Source organism: Homo sapiens, chromosome 10 (assembly GCF_000001405.40).
Source record: "Homo sapiens chromosome 10, GRCh38.p14 Primary Assembly".
Taxonomy (NCBI): domain Eukaryota; kingdom Metazoa; phylum Chordata; class Mammalia; order Primates; family Hominidae; genus Homo; species Homo sapiens.
This window is the reverse complement of record NC_000010.11, coordinates 69610524-69629731: the sequence shown is the minus strand read 5'-3', so window position 1 is coordinate 69629731 and position 19208 is coordinate 69610524.

The window sequence follows — 19208 nt, the reverse complement described above, 5'->3', positions numbered from 1 at the left end:
GGAACCACCTGCAGGGAGTGAATGATCCACCTCTGCCTCCTTCCTGATGTTTTAAAATCCACTTCTCCCCCACCACCTTCATAAGCTGCTCCCTGTGGACCTGCTCACCAGTGGGGGAGAATGAGCTGTGCAGTCCCACAGTCTGGGTTCAGGTTCTGGACTCTAGCAAGTTACTTAGCTGCTCAGTGTCACAAAGCAGGTGTAATCATAGCCTTACAGGACTTCTGTGAAGATTAAGTATGATGTCTCTGGCACATTGGCAATGTTGATAAACGTTAGCTATGATTATCATTTAATAAATGTTTGTGGGAGTGGCAGATATTTGTTGAGCATTTATTAGAACCCAGATTCTGCTAGCTGCTGGGCAGAAGGAACAAAACTAAGAGAGAGATTTAGACCTGGCCTGGAGGACTCATAGTCGGCCACCATAGTCTGATTATTTGATCATGAAACCTTATCAGCAAAAAATGTTTCACGGGTCGCTCTGGTATCTGTATCTTATTTATATGTTACTATTTTTGTTTGTTTCTAAATTACACATGTGTACTGTGAGAACAGATTGGCATGATGGATAAAAGGTGGCTGCTGGAGCCATCCTGTGTTTGAATGTTGGTGTGACTGCTTTCTGGCACTTTCGTGTCAAGTGCTTGGATGAGAGCCTGGCTGCAGTACATGCTCAACGGCTGCTGACTGTTATGATCATTACCTCTTCTACTATCAAGTCGATTGTAAAGCATGCACATTTTAAAAGCATAGGATGTAAAGTAAATATAAACCAAAATCCTAGTGCTTTCTCCCCACACCCCAGTGTGTTCCAGGTATGCCAAGTGCACGCATGAAAGCAGTAATCACAAGGCAGGATGCCCGATTGTCAGAGGTGGCCTGTGATCCCAAATCGCAATGTGCACATTGGAATTACCTGGAATGTTTAGAAACCATCCCAATACCTAGGTTCCACCCCAGAGATCACAATGTCGTTGATCTGGGTTACAATCTGTGCATGGAGACATTTTAAAAACCAGTCTTCTAATGAGCAGCTAGGGCCGAGAAACACTGCCTTCCATGAACAGAACCCCATAAGTAGGTCACGGAACTCAGGAGCCCCAAGAGGGAGGTAACCTCTGTGGGCTGGGAAACCAGGGGATACAGGCAGAAAATCATGGATGTTTTCAGGAAGATTTGAGCTGGTATAACTGCTGCCAGAGAGATACACTCCAGCTGGAGAGAACCGTAAGAGTCGAGAGGAAGAAGCAAGTCCCTACAGAAAAGTCAAGAACAGCTTTGGGGTGGGAAGTGATAGTGCTTGACTGGACTTAGAAATAGCCTATTATTACCAACTAAAATAGCCTAAGGAGGCAACATACCACTTTTGCTATCTCTCCACCTTCTTCAGGTGTCTCTCCTGCTCAAGAACCTGCAATGGTCCCTACTGTCTGCTCCAACAAGCCCCAACTCATTGGCAAGGCTTTGACAACCCTCCAACTCTAGCCCCAGCACACTGTCAGCAACTCCTTCCCTCAGCTCTGCCCACCTGGCCTCTTTGCTTTCCCTGAAGTAGATCACCCAAAGGCCTGCTTTGCTTGGGCCTGAATATCTGCTGGAAGGCCAGCTCCACCCAATCTAAATCCCTTCATCCACAAACGTGATTGTTTCATGTAATAATAATAATAACCCCTATATGTGCAGAGTCCTTACTTCCAAAGTGTTTTCCCAGAGACCACTTCATTCTTTTTTGGATTATGAAATAGAAAGAGTAGGTGTTATTATTCCTCTTTTACCAAGGTGAAATTGAGGCTCAGAGACAAGGTAGATGATGAGCCCAAGGTCAGTGACAGAGCCAGCGTTCAAATGAAGGCAGGTCCCCGGGCTCTGCATTCCAGGCTTTTGCATCCACCAAACAGACTCCCCTGAGTTCATCTCAGCTCTGCAGCCTCTTTACAATTGTGCCCCCACCTTCCCCAGTGCCATCAGCACAAGATTGGGCATTGGGTCATGCCTTAACCCCAACATGTGGTCAATAAAAATGTGCTTTTGGTTTTCTGTTCATAGCAGAGGTCATAATTTTTAAGTCAGGTGTCCTGGCCTGTTCTCTGACTCTGCAGGTGGGAACAACTGTTTCTGCCTCAAAAGAGAATGGCATGATGATAATGGTGATGTCATTTTAAATATATTAATCTATCTATCTCTTTCTCCTGCTATTTCCCCCTGTCTCTTTCCCCTACTCTGGCAGACACTATGCCTGTGTTTATTACTCAGAGAATGGTGTGGGAGAAAGGCAGCACTAGCTTGCCAGTGCCCACTGTTGGTGCCTCCTTAGGCCTGTGGCCATGGAAGACAGTATGACAGGGGCCTCTTCAGAGAAAACACTGGGAAAGGAGGAAATGATGGGAGCATAGGTGTTGTGTGCTGGATCTCAAAGGTGGGCATGAGGCTTGGGAAAGGGAATGGCCAGATAGTGAGTATGACAGGTAGGGCCTTATATGGCCTTGTGGAAATCCTTGGGTCCATTGTGTCTGAGGTGTGGTGGAAGGATTCTTGTGCTCCAGCAATGACAAGGGAGTAGTAAGTAGTAGTAGTAGTAGTAGTAGTAGTAGTAGTAGTAGTAGTAGTGGGAAAATTGCTGGACTTGAAAGGGTCAGGTAGACAGGTATGAAGGGTGGTTCAGTGATGGCCCTCATCCATGGACAGATGATGGGGGACCAGAGGATTGATGGAGGCCTCAGAAAACACCTTACATAGTCAGAAGACTGGAGTGGCCCCACAATATCTTGGTTATATGTAAGTATGTAAGTCCCCTAAGACATAAACCCACCTAGGTGTAATATATTAGCTTGAGTACAGGCTATGCTGCTGGAACAAAAAAAATATACAGTGACTCAATCAAGTAGATGGGCAGCTCTGCTTCACAAGGCCAGCCAAGGACATCCACTCTTCCTAGCTTATTGCTCCCCTACACCCTAGGATGCCACCCTTATTTGCGTCGTCAAAACTGCCTCACCAACTTCTTCGCCATATGCAGCTCATGGAAAGGTGAGACAGAAGAAATGAGGGCTAGTGATTTCTTTTAAAGAAAAGTATTGTAGGTGTAGCACATATTACTTCCCTCACATTCCATTGTGAAGAACGAGTCACATGGCTACAGGGCAGGCACTGATATCCCTGTGTCATTCCGGATATTGGTACTTGTGTCTTCTATCTTGTGTCTTTCACTTTTGCTAGAGGTTTATCAATCTTATTGACTGATCTTTTCAAAGAACCAGCGCTGCTTCACTGAGTCTTCTGTTTCTATTTTTCTGTTTTCAATTTCATTGATTTCTGCTCTTATCTTTATTATTTCCTTCCTTCTGTTTGCTTTGGGTTTATTTTGTTCTTCTGTTTCTAAGTTCTTGAGTCGGGAGTTTAGATTATTGATTTGAGATGTTTCAATGTAAACATTTAGTGCTATAAATTTCCCTGTTAGCACTTTTAGCTGTGCCCCACACATTTTGACGTGTATTTTCATTTTCATTTAGTTATATGTATTTTTAAATTTCTTTTGCTACTTCCCCTTTGGTCCATGGATTATGTTAAAGGATCATTTAGTCTACAAGTGTTGGAGATTTCCTGTTATCTTTCCATTATTGGTTCTAGTAATTACATTGTGGTCAGAGAACACACTCTGTATGAGTTCAATTCTTTTAAGTTTGTTGAGGTTTGTTCTAGGGCCCAGGATATGGTCTATCTTGATGAATGTTTCATAGAAGGTTGAAAAGAATATCCATTCTGCTGGTTTTGGATGGAATGTTCCATAAATCTTTCTTTTTCTTTACTTTTCTTTTCTTTTTTTTTTTTTTGTGACAGGTTCTGGCTCTGTCATCAAGGCTGGAGTGCAGTGGCGTAATCACAGCTCTCTGCAGCCTTGACCTCCTGCCTTAGCTTCCCAAGTAGCTGGGACTACAGGTATGTGCCCAGCTAATTTTTAAAATTTTTTATATAGATGGGTTCTTGCTATGTTGCACAGGCTGGTCTTGAACTCCTGGGCTCAAGCAATCCTCTTGCCTCAGCCTCCCAAAGTGCTGGGATCACAAGTGTGAGTTGCCATGCCCAGCCTATGAATGTTGTTTACATGCTGTTGTTTGATGGTGTTGTATATTTTTTATGATTTTCTGACTAATTGTTCTATCAACTGTTGAAAGAGACATATTGATATCTCTAACAATAATTATACATTTGTCTATTTCTCCTGCCAGTTTTTGCGTCACATGTTTTGCAGCTCTGTTGTTTGGTACGTACACATTTAGTTTTGATATGTCTTCTTGGTGGATTGATTGTTTCATCATACATAATGTCTCTTTCCATCTCTGGTAATTTTTCTTGCTCTGAAGTCCTGCTTTTCTTTAATTCATGTTTGCATAATATACCTTTTTCCATCATTTTACTTTCAACTTGCCTAAATTGTTATATTTGAAGAGAATTTCTTATACACAGAATATAGGTGGATCATGTTTTTAATCCACTCTGCCAGACTGCCTTTTATTTGGATTATTTAGACCATTACATTTAATGTAATTAGTGACACATTAGGGCTTAAATTGCCAATTTATTTTTTGTTTCTGTTTGTTCTGTTTGTCATTTCTCTGTTTTTGTTTTTGTTTTTTTTCATTCCTGTAATCCTGTGGGTTACTTGAACACTTTTTAAAATTCCATTTTGATTTATCGATAGTATTTTATTATGTATATCTCTTTGTATAGCTTATTTAGTAGTTACTCTGGATATAATATATGTACAACTTATCACAGTCCACTGGGGTCAACATTTTATTCATTTGGGTGAAATGTAAGAACCTGCTTCCCTTTATGTTCCTTTACTCGCCCCGTTATACTGTAATTGACTGAAAGATTCTCTCTACATGTGTTTTGAGCCACATCAGTGTTATAATTTTTGCTTTAACAGACAAATATAATTTATAAAATTCAAAAGTAAAAGGAAAGTTTATTGTACTTCCTCATATTTTTGCTTACCATGTTATTTTTTTCTTTCCTACTATTCTAAGTTTCTTTCTTATATTGTTTCCTTTCTATTTGGAGAACTTCCTCTAGCCTTTTTGTTTTAGGGTAGGTCTGGTAACAAATTACTTTCGTTTTCTTTCATCTGTGATTGTCTTGATATACTCTGCATTCACGAAGAATATTTTCACTAGAGAGAGAGTTCTAGTGTTGACTAGATATTTTCACTAGTGTTGACAGTTCTTTCTTTCAACACCTGAAAAATATTGTACCATTTCCCTCTAGCCTCCATGGTATCTAATGAAAAATCTGCTGTTATTTGAATTGTTTTCCCCTAAGGATAAGGTGTCATTTTTTCCCTTGGCTGCTTTCAAGGTATTTTCTTTGTCTTTGATTTTTCAGAAGTTTAATTATGATGTGTTTCAGATGGATTTCCTTGGAATTTTCCTATTTGGGATTCACTCTGTTCTTGAATCAGTAGATTTATATCTGTTGCCAAATTTGGAAAGTTTTTAGCCATTATTTATTTGACTACTTTTTAGCCTCACTCTCCTCCTCTCCTTCTGTGTCTTCAGTGACACAAATGTTAAATCTTTTGTTGTAGTCCTACAGGTCCCTGAGGCTCTGGGTTTTCCTGTTTGTTTGTTTGGTTTTAGTCTATTTTCTGCCTATTTGTTCAGACTGGGCAATTTGTATTGTTCTATTAAATATCTTCCAGCTCACTGATTCCATTCTGCTGTTGAGCCCATCTGCTCAGCCTTTTATTTGAATTATTATACTTTTCCATTTCTCCTTTCCATTAGTTCTTTTTTATGTCTTCTACTCTATTGTTGAGGCTTTCTATTTTGTCACTACTTCAAGCGTGTTCATAATTGCCCAATAAAACATTTATATTTTGGTTGCTTTAAAATCTTTGTCAGATAATTCTAACACCTCTGTCTTTCAGTGTTGCCATCTACTAATGTCTTTTTCATTCAATTTGATGCCTTCCTAGTTCTTAGTTTTGACAAGTGATTTTCTAATAAAATCTGGATTTTTTGCATTATATTATGAGACTCTGGCTCTTATTAAACTTTCTGTTTTAGCTAGCTTTTTCTGTCAGTGCTCCATCAGGGAAAGGAGAGGCACTGCATCATTCATGATCTGTGGAGGTAGAAGCCAAGGTTTCCCACTCAGCCTCATAGACACCCAAGTTATGGGGAGGGAGTGCTCCTCATTACTGCTAAGGGGTATGGGGTTTCCTATTCCCCAGATTGTCTCCACTGACATCATGGTGGGGGAGAGATACATTACCAGATAAGGAAGACTAAGGTACTGACTTCCTATTCAGCCTCTAACACCATTCCAGCAGGGGTTCTGGATGGCTTGTTATGGCCTTAAAAAGGTGTAAGTCTAGGCTTGCCACTTGGTCTTTGCAGGTGTGAGTTTTTCCTGTGGTGTTTGGCTAAAGTAAAGCAGCTATTGGCTAAAAACTTTTAGTCTTTCTAGGTACCTTTCCTAGTACTTTGGCTAGAAAGAGGTGGCTTTTAGGGGGCTTTTGTTATCTATACACTTGGCTGCTTCCAGGTTGCTAGCTTCTTCAGCTGCTAATCCGGGACATATGAGCCAGAAGGCAAACTCACGGAATTCACCCCGTGTTGTGTCTTTCTTCAGATTCCAAAGCCCCCAAACTGCCTGCCTTCTTCTGTCCATCTTTCAAAGTCTTCTTATGTTTGTTTTACACCTAACGTTCAGAGTTTTTAGTTGTACTGAGGAGGAATATAAAAAAGTATATTTTCTCCATCTTCCTGGAAGCAGACATTCAATCTTAAGGTTATAGAAATTAAGAGATTAAGACACTATGACCTAGGTACAGGAATAACAAAATGACCAATCAGTAGATAGAGTCTAGAAACAAACCCATAAACTGGGATTTATGGCAAAGTGGAAGTGCAGAACATAGGAAAAGGAATCTTTTAAATAAATGGTGCTGTGATAATTGGGTATTCCTGTAAGAAAAAAAATGAAATTGGACCCCTACCTAATATATTTGTACATATACCAAAAATAAATTCTTGTATCATTGACCTAAATATGAAAGGCAAAACACAAAGGATTTAGAATATAAATCATATGTATAAATATAAATATAGATATTCTAGACCTCAGAGTAGGAGAAATTTTCTGAACACATTATAAGAAATGCCAACCATAAAGAAAATGATTGATAAATTTTATTACATTAAATTTACATTAAGAACTCATTGATCAAGACTTTTTTTAAGTAAAAAGGCAGCTCCGTGCCCAAGAAAAGGTTTTTTGCAATACATAGAGCCACAAATGATTCATATCCAGAATATACAGAGAGCCTCTAAAATGAATAAGAAAATAGACAATCCGTAAAAAAGTGGGCAAAAGATTTGATCAGGTACATTACAAAAGAAAGAAACCCAAATGGCCAATAAAGTTTTGAAAAAGTGCCCAGCATCATTAACAATCAGAGAAATACAAATTAAAACCTTCACAAGATACTTCCACACATTCATCAGATAGATAGAATAGATAGACTCTAATTACCAAGTCTGACAACACCAAGTATTGGTGCTGAGTTACAGCAATGAGAGTTTCCATACGCTGCCAGTGGATGTGTAAGTTGGTACAACCACTTTGAAAAACCATTTGGAATTGCCTAGGAAGGGGGAATATTTGCATTCTTCATGACCCAGGACACAAAAGTGAATGGTCATGTGCACCATGTCATATATACAAGCATTTTTCATAATAGAAGCTGGAAAACAATTCAAATGTCTGTCAGAGTAAAATCGATAAATTATAGTATACAATATAATACTATAGAGTAGTAAAGGCTATGAACACCAACTATATGCAATACTATAGTTGAATAGAAAAATATTATATTGAACAAAAGAAGCCAAAAGCAAAATAAATTTTACTGCATGGTTTCATTTATATAAAGATCAAAGGAGAGTAAAATTGAATTATATTGTCTAAGGATGCATACTGGGGTGCTAAAAGTACAAAGAAATGCAATGAAATTATTACTGAAAATGTAATGGTTAGCTCTAGGGTACAGGAGAAGCTGTGCCCAGAAAAAGGCTTGCACACGATGGGCAGGGAGACTGAGGTGCTGGCGGTGCTCAATTTCCTGACCTGGCTAGTGGTTTCACAGACTTTCACTTTATAATAATTTGTGGAACTGCACAGAGAATTCAGAGGAACAGAACTGAGGAAGGAGTCAGTTTATCTGGTGGTGGTCAAATGGGTCTGTTCTTCCATTAGAAGCAGCCTAGGCAGGTATTAAGTGTATGGCCTCTGAGGCCAGTTCGCTTGGATTCAAATCCTCTACTTGCTGTGTGATCTTGTGCAGTTTGCTTAATCTCTCTGTCCCTTGATGGTCTCATGTGCAAAATAGGGATGATAATACCTAATGTGAGGATTAATAGGTCTTAGGCATCCAGTACACAGTACATGAGCTTTGTTAAATAAGTAAAAATTCATATATTTATTCAACATAAAAATTCCTTGCACCCCTGTGCCATGCTTGGGCCTTTTGACGACCCTTCACAGGCCAGTAGACCTGGACCCAAGGGTGCAGCTACAGAGCCCTCAGAACTGGGGCTCCACCTTAAAGTCAGTGCAGCCACCTGTTGCAGAATCTTCCTCCAAAATCCAGATCAGATTGCAGACCTGGGCCAGGCTGACCCCACAACTTAGCCAGAGGGTCCCAGCCCAGGGAGGGCAGCCCTGCAAGCACTGGAAGCCAGGCAGTCTCTCACTGCCTGCCTGTTTCTGCAGCTGGGCGCCCGAACCCAGGCAGCCTCCTCTCCTACTTCAGGGCTTAGAAGAGTGGAGGGAGGGCAGACTGGAAGAAAAGAGGACCAGGGAGTATGGAAGAGCCCGGGTGTCTCGAATGCCTTTCATCCTTTCCACAGAGGAAGTGGCAGAAACAGAAGAGCGGGGGTGGGGTGGGTGAAAAAGCAACCAAAAGCAGAGAATAAGGCCAGCCCAGAAGGGCTTTTTGTGGGGTCTTAATTAAGCCTGGAGGCTTGCTTCATTGTTCCTTTCAGGGTGGAACATATGTTCAGGGTCTGGCTGAGGTTTGGGACTGAAATTTCAATGGTGCTGGGACCTATGGTCTGCAGGGGAAAGGCAGGAGGAGGGGGTCAGCAGTCCCTATGCCATATAGGAACCAATAGTGTCTCTGGCGCATCCTCTCCCAGGTCACTTTCTGCTGGAGCAGGAAATAAAATGACCAGGAAAGGTAGCAAAGCCCCCACCCCGGTGTAAGGCAAGTCCGTGGGATACGACAGAGCTACCTCTACCTCCCGGCTCGGTGCTTAGGCAGTGTGACCTTCAGTGGGCCTCAGTTTCCCCATGCATGCCATTCAGATGGAGCTGTCTGGAAGAGTAGACAGTCACCAGTACCTGCCACCACCATGAGCAGGAGCCACCCATGTGACCAGACAGCCCAATATTAAGGGCTTGAGTTCAGGGTCAGTCACACTGCCATTCAGATGCTTGCTCTGCAGCTCACAAACTGGGTCACCTTGGGCAAGTAACTCAATCCCTCTGAGCCTGTTTCCTCATCTGTAACATGGCGGTGATCATTCCCATCCTCTATGTTTGCAATGGAATTGATGAAGACAATAGTATCAAGCACATGAAGCCTGATCCAGTTTGCTGTTATCTTCAACCCGTTGTTATTACTAGTGACCCTTCCCCTCCTAGAGCCCTGGTGGTGCAAGGACAGAAACACAATCCCATAAGGACATTCAGAGTCAAGTAAAAATTTAGACAGTCAGAGAGGACCACAGCACAGGCCCATCTAGGCTGCAGGAGCTCAAGATGAAGAGTGAGCTCCGGAGATGAGAAAGTCTTGCGAAACCCAAGTAAGTCAAAGGCGGAGTGCCCTTTCAGGCGATGGAATTGGCATTGGCAGAGGTGTGAGGCTGGGACTCTAAATGACATGTTCGATGACAGAGGCTGACCTGGAAAGATGGAGATCATCTTGGGGGGTGTTGGAAGAGGAGGCTTGGAAAATTATTTGGGTGCTATGGTTTCAATGTTTGTGTCCCTGAAAATGCGTACATTGAAATCTAATCCCCAAGACGATGGTATTTGGAGCTGGAGACTTTGGGAGGTGATTAGGTCATTAGGTGAAACTTTTATGAATGGGATTAGTGCCCTTATAAGAGAGGCACAAGGGAGCTCATTTACCCCTTCCACCATGTGAAGATGCAGCAGGAAGGTGTCCTGTATAAGACAGGAAGATGCCTCTCACTAGACACCCAATCTGCTGGTGCTTTCTTTCCTCTTGGATTTCCCAGCCTCTAGAACTGTTCGAAATACATTTCTGTTGTTTATTTGCCACCCAATTTATTGTGTTGTATTATAGCAGCTGAATGGACTAAGACATTGTTCAGAATATGAAACATAAATACATAGTAAAGCCAGGACTCTGGGCACCTCTTTCCTTAGCTGCCCAAAGACACCCCTGGACTCAGAGATTTCCAAGATCACCCCAGCTCTTACATTCTTAGTCTGTGACTTGCACTGTAGGCCATAGGAAGCCATGGAAGTTTTGGAGCCTGCAGGTACTGTGGGGACAGCAGGACTCCAGTCAGTGACCTAAGCTACACAGGATCTGCCTCTGAGGCTTAGGATGGAGGAAAGTCAGGGAGGATGGAGGCCTGTGATAAGGCACTGATCACAGAAACAAGTGTGGAATCCTCAACAGAGCAAAGTCCCATGCCTGCACCATGCCTGTGACACCAAGGCTGACTGCAGAAACAAGTGTGTGAATCTCCAACAGCACAAGGTCCCACCTTGGCCCTGCCTGGGAAGCCACAGAAGCGAAGCCAGCCCTGGGGGTCGAATGAGGCCTCAGGCCAGATGGTAGGCACCATGTGCTCCCCAGGGAACCTCTGCCCTTCTGAGCCTGACCCTTCCCCAGAGTGCTGCCACCTGCCCAGACTTCTGCCTTCCAGGTGGTCTGAGTGCCACCATGAGTCAGGGTGGGAGAAGGTGGCCTCTCCCTCCCTCCAAAGCGAAGTCAATCAATCATCTTGTGTTTCCTGAACCCTTTCTGTCTGCCACAACCAAGGGCCAAAAGGGTCTCCCTGCTGAATAGCAAGTGGGCAATGCTATGTGTTCACCACACCATTTCTTATTCCTGGGCACAAAGGAAAACCATATTTGCCTTAAAATAAGATCAGGGCCATGTTACTGAGTTCTGCCCAATAGAAAAAAGATGGCAGAGGCATGAGCCACTTCCAGACTTTGTCTTTAAAAATATCCCCTATGACCCCGGCTCTCTCTTTTCCTGATATAGTGACCATGGAGGTCATGTGTTCTAGACAATAGAGCCACAAGAAGAAAGGCCCACCCAGCTCACATCAGAAAGCAGTGCATGGAAAATAGCCCTGTGTGCCAAATACCTCAGGTTGAGCATTTTTTGTGTTTGTTGCAGCAGCATGGCCTAGCTAGCTGGACTAATATATTACCATTTACTGAGCATTTACTATGTGCTAGGCCCCAGACTAAACATCACACACACACCTCTCTCCAATCCTTACCATATTCTGCAAAACTGATGGTGTTAATATACCCATTTTATGACAAGGTTCAAAGTACACAGTTAGGTGACTTGCCCAGAAACTCTCACAGCTAGAAAGAGGCAGAGCCAGGGGGTTTGTCTCTAAACACATGCCCTTAACCACACATTGTGCTTGAAGATGTTGAGTGTCCATCTGGAAGCATGGGATGCTGCCCGCAGCAGGGGAAGGCCGCCTGTCAGCCCCAGGAGTCAAGAGGAAGAGAGGAACTGGAATCTTTCCAACAGGAAAATGTTGGGCCACAATAAATGCTTAGAAATAGTTTTTGCAACAGAGCAGCCCACAGTTCCAGGTCTTGGTGGCTAACAAAGGCACCAGAGCTAAGAATCTCTGTTTTAACAGTTACTATGGGCTGTGGAATGAGCCACTTTGTCTTTCCCACCTGCAATATGGGAAAATAACTCAAATGCTACATTCAGAACACAACTCATTAGAAAGACAACAGAACATGAAATCCCAGCACTTTGGAAGGCCTAGGTGGGTGGATCACTTGAGGTCAGGATTTCGAGACCATCCTGGCCAACATGGTGAAACCCCATCTGTACTGAAAATACAAAAATTAGCCAGGCGTGGTGGCACGCGCCTGTATTCCCAGCTACTTGGCAGGCTGAGGCAGGAAAATAGCTTAAACCCAGAAGGCGGAGGTTGCAGTGAGCCGAGATCACGCTACTGCACTCCAGTCTGGGCAACAAAGCGAGGCTCCATCTCAAAAAATAAAAATAAAAAATAAAATGAAATTACAGCTTTTCTTTCACCTCAGAATTTTGGCAGCGGCCCCAGAGGCCCAGAACAAAGTGATAGAAGCCCATATTCCCCACTTCTAAAGTGGGATGCTAGACAACTTCTATAGGACATGTGTGATCATAATGCCAAAACTGGGTCTGCCAGCACTGGTCCATCACCCACCTCCATGCCATAAAAACAAAGACAAAAAAAAATGTTTGAAGATGTGGAAGAGTCCAGTGAAGAAGCATTTTTGGAGAGATTTGGCAGCGTGCTGGGCATTCTGGCACCTCCAGCCAAATTAAAGAGTTTCAGGAAAACCACATAGAGAGTTTGACACATGTTCCTTAGCATTTGAAGGATGTAGATGTGTGAATTGGATGTGTCCAATTCACATTCGAAAAGTCTAAGAGAGTCTGCATTGCAGCTGCCCTAGGTTGGCAGAGGGAAGAGAAGCAGCTACCTGAGAGCAGCTACTGCTTCCAGAATCTGGATGGGCAAAGGATCCCTGAGTTCCTGGCTCACATGTGGAGCCTGAAGAAGGAAGCGAGGCTGGGTCACCTTGAGAGTGTGAAGGGACCAGGTGTCTCCCCAGATACGAAGGGGCTAAGTGGTGACTTACATGGGAAGAGCAAGTGGGATAATATCTGTGCCTAGGGAACTGTAGGTGAGCGATCCTTAGTGATAAAATGGTCTCCAAAGACCCCAGGAAGCTACCTCTAGAGTGAGACAATCAGCATTTGGAATGGCCACACCCAGAGAGCACCAGCACCCAGTGACAACTAGAGCAGCCAAGCAAGAACTATCCTGTGTCTTCCCACTCTGAAGAATAACCAGCAGCTGGGAGGGTGGGCAGGCGAAGGAAAAGAAGAGAGCAGTTGATAACGCCTCCCACCCACACACTTGTCCCACTGCAGGGTACTCATTCTGCTGTCGTTCTGAGCTGAGGGAGAGGGAAAGCTCTAAATAAAGTTGGAGTTTTGATATCACACTGGACTGAACATTCTAATGTTTGGGGAAAGATGCTATTCACTTGTTAGCTGTTGGTGATTGGGATAACCTGAGAACGGCCAGAGATTTCACCCAGGGGCAACAAAGAATAAAAGAAGAGCTGGTTTGGAGGGGAAGTGGGGAGAACCAATATAGCTGCTTCCTATTTGCATCCTGATAGGTGCAGTTCACCCAGAATCCAGTTACAGATACACAACTATGGAATGAGAGTCGACAAGGGAAAAAAAAGCAAAATACAGAACGGTATACAGCACGGTGCCTTTTATCTAAGAAAGGGAGAATTTAAGTACAAACAAGAAGAAATAAATGAATAAATTTGCTTATATTTTTAACAAAGAAAGGATAAACCAAAAACTAATGAAAATGGTTTCCAATAACAGGACAGAGGAGACAGGATTGGAAATTAATCTTCTCTGAAAATATCTTGTTGTAGTTTTGACTTTGGAGCCATCCTACATAATTATAAAACAAAATTAAATGTTAAAATTAAAAGTAACATCAAAAATAAAAGACACAATGAATTCTATAAACTTTACTGCTATGGTTTGAATATCTGCCTCCTCCAAAACTCATGCTGAACTTTAATCCCCAGTGTGGCAGTATTGAGCAGTGGGGCCTTTAAGAAGTGATTGGGTCTTGAAGGTTCTGTTTTCATCAATGGAATTAATCAGTTCATGGATTAATGGATTAGTAGGTTAATGAATTAATGGGTTATTGTGGAAGTGGAACTGGTGGCTTTATAAGAGAAAGACCTGAGATGGCACACTCAACCGCTTGCCGTGTAACACCCCATGCTGCCTTGTGACTCTGTAGAGAGTCCCTGCCAGCAAGAAGAACCTCAGAAGATGCCTCTCACTGACCTTGGACTCCTCGGCCTCCAGAACTGTAAGAAATAAATTCCTTGACTTTACAAATTACCCAGTTTAGGTATTCTGTTATAAGCTACAGAAAACAGACTGAGACTACTGCATATCAAGGTTGGGGCTTAACCACAGAGAATTAGCTGAAGTGATTTTAAAACACATTAATATGTTATAAAGATTTTTAAAACTTCAAAAATATCTTAAATTGTATTTAGTAAGTCTATTTTAGTAATAATATTGGTTTGTTAGTTTGAAATTATTATGCATAGTGAGATAAAACAAATAAGTAACTGCTAATATAGTTAGTAGTCAAAATTTTTGCAGAAGAGAAAAGAAATACAAATATAAATTCAAAGAATTTAACTAAAACGCATGGAATGCTAAATTTAAACTGGAATTATCAGTAGAGGCTTATGATGTATTTTTCTTTTTAAAAACTATAACAATAAATAATTATAAAAAGCAGCCTCTGTTCTTATACTAACTGAAAAGGCCTAGAAGTAACAACCAACTCTGGCAACAAACACCCTGAACCCCTAGACTGTGACCTCTAATTACCATTGCCTCCTAAGAGGAATGAGGGCTCTGTGGAGAAAAAGCTAGCTGTACACATGGACAAGAAATATACAAGGTGAGTCTGAGTAGCAGGGAAGCTACTCTGAGGGCTGTGCCAAAAGGACAGAGAAACCAACCTGAAAGGACTTCCACTGGCCAAAAATGGAAAAATGTGGACATTAGAAACAATAATTACTGCATTGGGTTGAAACTCATCCGTGAGTACATATCTGAGTCTGGTTCTGAAGATTGCTTTGTCTTTTCAAATTACGTTTTTTTCTTGCCTTTTAGCATGCTTTGTCGTTTTTTGTTTGTTTCTTTGTTTGTTTTGAAAACCAATGTGATGTATCAAGTCATAGGAAGGGAGAGAAATAGGCCTTTGGAGCGAGGAGTTATGTTAATTTAGCTAGGAGCTGAACCAAGTTTACTGTTTGCTCTACCTGTAGGCGCCATAAGCTTCCATTTCCTGTAGTGTCTTTGTTGGATTTTCCCCCTCCCCTGTTATCTTTGGATTTCCCTAAGAACTCCTTCTTAAATAGAGCCTGTGTCTTATAACTCTGGCAGTTATAATCCACTGTTACTAGAGTCCTGTTGACGTAAAGTTGGAGGAGAGGAAGCAATCTGTAACCTCATGCAAATGTCTTCTACTGGGCAAAAGTCACTGGCCTGTGACTGCCAGAAGTGTTTCTTAGCTTTTTGTTTTTTCTCCCCTTAGGTGAGACAGGAAGGCTAGAGGAGGCTGGATTTGCCCTGAGGTACATAAGGCTCTCCCCTAAAGGGCAGGCCTTAGTTATGGAGAACACTCTGGACAGAAGGGGATTTCTCTTAGATCTTCACCTTGAGAACCTGGTGAGGTTACTGAAAATAAAACCATGAAAGTGTGGAGACCCCCCTATGCCTGAGCCCCCAGGAAAGTATCTCACTCTCAAACTAATACACATTCAGCCTCCAACATTTCATCAAAACTACCGTGTAAGTGTACCTACCATTGCTCCAGGAGCTTCTGCTCAGGTAAGCTGATTCTGCTTGTTCCTCTCTATGCACCAGTCTCTCCAGGGTGGTGGTTTGCACTGTGACCTCGATTCTCTGATGGATCTAAGAAAAGCCACTGATTTTTCAGTTTAGCTTTTTTCTTGTTTTAAGTATAGAACATTGACTTCCAAGTCCCTTGCATGTTAATGCTGAAATTGGAAGTCTCATCTGTAAGTAAATAAGCTATTTTTTTTTAAAGTAAGTCACTGATTACTTTGGAAGTTGCTAGGGGTATCTTCTAGAGTCATCAGAGAGGGATAACCACCAGGAGATATTTAAAATGAAGGATTTATCATAGGGTTTTGACCTTACTCAAATGTGAGAGCTGGTTATACCATCTGTGTGAAGCTGTTGCTTCTAAGTCAGCTGCCAGCGCCTGAGGACAAACACAGGCAGGAATGTAAGATGGACATGAAGTTGGGGGAGCAAAGACAAATTGGAACCTGTGAAAAGGAGCAGGAGCCTACATCAGTCTCTCACCAACTCTAAGCCTCCATCAACACCAATGATGTTGATGACATGCACCTTTATTGTGGAATTAAACACACTCTAACCATGAAGTCAGAGAAGCTGAAGTACCTGCAGGCCTAGCTTCTATCCCACATGGACAATTAGCCAACAGATATCAACAATGTGCATAAGCTGCACAGTGCCTGGCCTTGATCTTCTGAGCATACACAATTATATGTGGCTGCTGCTTCACTTCTGCCTTCCAAGTCTTGTGCAAAATATCTACCATGATGGACACTAACCTGGAACTCTGCAGGGAAGGAAATTCTGGAAAACATAGTTCCAGCTTAGCTAAGTTAGCCCAATACACATACACCATACTAGGGTAATAATTCATTTTTCTGAGCACTGGTAAATAAATGAGTTGAGCATTTAACCTGCCTTTCCCACACAGTTTATTTCAGGGTTATCCACCAATTGAAGCTAACTCACTCACATCTCTGGAAGTTTGCAGGCAGTTGGCCAGGGTGCTTTGTTTCTCCTCCACATGAACTCCAGCAGACTAGTTCAGGCCTGTGCACATTGTAGTCTCAGAGTTCTAAGTTCAGCCAAAACAGCAACTCCTAATGAATAAGTGCTTTCTTCAAAATAGACTTTATTTTTCAGAGCAGCTTTAGTTGCCTAGCAAAATTGAGCAGAAGGTCCTGAGATTTCCCATATACTCCCTTCCCCCACACATACATAGCCTCCCCCATTACCAACATCTCGCACATTTGTTACAGTTGATGAGCCTACATTGGCACATTGTTATTACCCAGAGTCCATACTTTACATTAGGGTTCACTCTTAGGGTTGTACATTCTATGGGTAGGGACAAATATGTAATGATGTGTACGTATCATTGTAGCATCGTGCAAGAGCAGTTACACTGTTCTCAAAATCCTCTGGGCTCCACTTATTCATCCTGCACCGCCCCCATTCCTGGAAACCACTAATCTTTTTTTTTTTTTTTTTGAGATGGAGTCTTGCTCTGTTGCAGTGCAGTGTGAGTGCAGTGGCGTGATCTCAGCTCACCATAACTTCCGCCTCCTGGGTTCAAGCAATTCTCCTGCCTCAGCCTCCTGGGTAGCTGGGATTATAGGTGCCCACCACCATGCCCGGCTAATTTTTGTATTTTTAGTAGAGATGGGGTTTCACCATGGTGGCCAGGCTGGTCTCAAACTCCTGACCTCAAGTGATCTGCTCACCTCAGCCTCCCAAAGTGCTGGGATTACAGGCGTGAGCCAGTGTGCCCAGCCACCACTAATCTTTTTACTGTCTCCACAGTTTTGTCTTTTCCAGAATGTCATATAATTGGAATCATACAGTATGTAGCATTTTCAGTTTGGCTTCTTTCATATTTTATTAGAAATATGCATTCAAGTTTCCTCCATGTCTTTTCATGGCTTGATAACACCCTTCCTTCCTTCCTTCCTTCCCTCCTTGCTTCCTTCCTTTATTCCCTTTCTTTCTTTTTTTTGTAGAAGAGGTCTCACTACATTGCCCAGGCTGGTCTAGAACTCCTGGCTTCAAGTGATCCTCCTGCCTCGGCCTTCCAAACTGCTAGAATTAAAGGCACAAGCCACCACATCTGGCCGATAACTCATTTCTTTTTAGCACAGAATAATATTCGATTGTCTGAATGTACCACAGTTTATTTATCCATTCACCTACTGAAGTACATCTTGGTTGCTTCCAAATTTTGGCAAGTATGAATAAAACTTCTGTAAACATCCACATGCAGGCTTCTGTGTGGACACAAGTTTTTGACATTTTTGAATAAATACCAAGGAGTGTGCTTGCTAGATTGTATGTTAAGTGTATGTTTAGTTTTGCAAGAAACTGACAAGCTGTTTTCTAAAGTGGCTGTACTATTTTGCATTCTCACCAGTGATGAATGAGAATCCCTGTTGTTCCAATTCTTCCTTGCCAGTATTTAGAGTTGTCAGTTTTCTGGATTTTGACCATTCTAATAGATGTATAGCAGTATCTCATTGTTGTTTTAATTTGCATGTCACTGATGATGTGATGTGGAGCATATTTTCATGTGCTTCTTTGCCATCTGTGTATCTTTGGTGAGGTATGTGTTAAGGTCTTTGGCCCATTTCTAAATTGAATTGTTTTTCTTATTGTGGAGTTTCAAGAGTTCTTTGTATATTTTGGATAACAGTCCTTTATCAAATACATCTTTTGCAAATGTTTGGTCCCAGTCTGTGGCATATCTTTTCATTCTCTTGATAGCATCTTTCATGGAGCAAAATTTTTTAATTTTAAAGAAGTCAAGCTTATCAATTCTTTCTTTCATGGATCACGCCTTAGTGTTGCATCTAAAAAAGTCATCTTCAAATCCAAGTTCATCTAGATTTTCTCCTATGTTATCTTCTAGTATTTTTATTATTTTGTGTTTTGCATTTAGGTCTATGATCCATTTTGAGTTAATTTTTATGAAGGGTGTAAGATTTGCATCAAGTTTTTTTTTTGTTTGTTTGTTTGTTCATTTGTTTTTTTTGGCCTAGGGATGTCTGGTTGTTCTAGCACCATTTGTTGAAAAGACTCTCTTTTCTCTGTTGTACTGCTTTTTCTCTGTTGTCAAAGATCAGTTGATTATACTTATGTGGGTCTATTTCTGCACTCTTTATTCTGTTTCATTGATCTACTTGTCTATTCTTTCACAAATACCACACTGTCTTGATTACTGCAGTTTTATAGTAAGTCTTGGAGTCAGGTAATGTTAGTCCTTGAACTTTTTAATTCCCCTTCAATATTGTGTTGGCTATTCTGAGACTTTTGCCTACCCATGTAAACTTTAGAATCAGTTTGTCAATAACCACAAAACAACTTGCTGGGATTTACATTGAGATTGTGTTGAATCAAATTGGGAAGAGCTGATATCTTGATAATATTGAGTCTTCCTATCCATGAACATGGGATATCT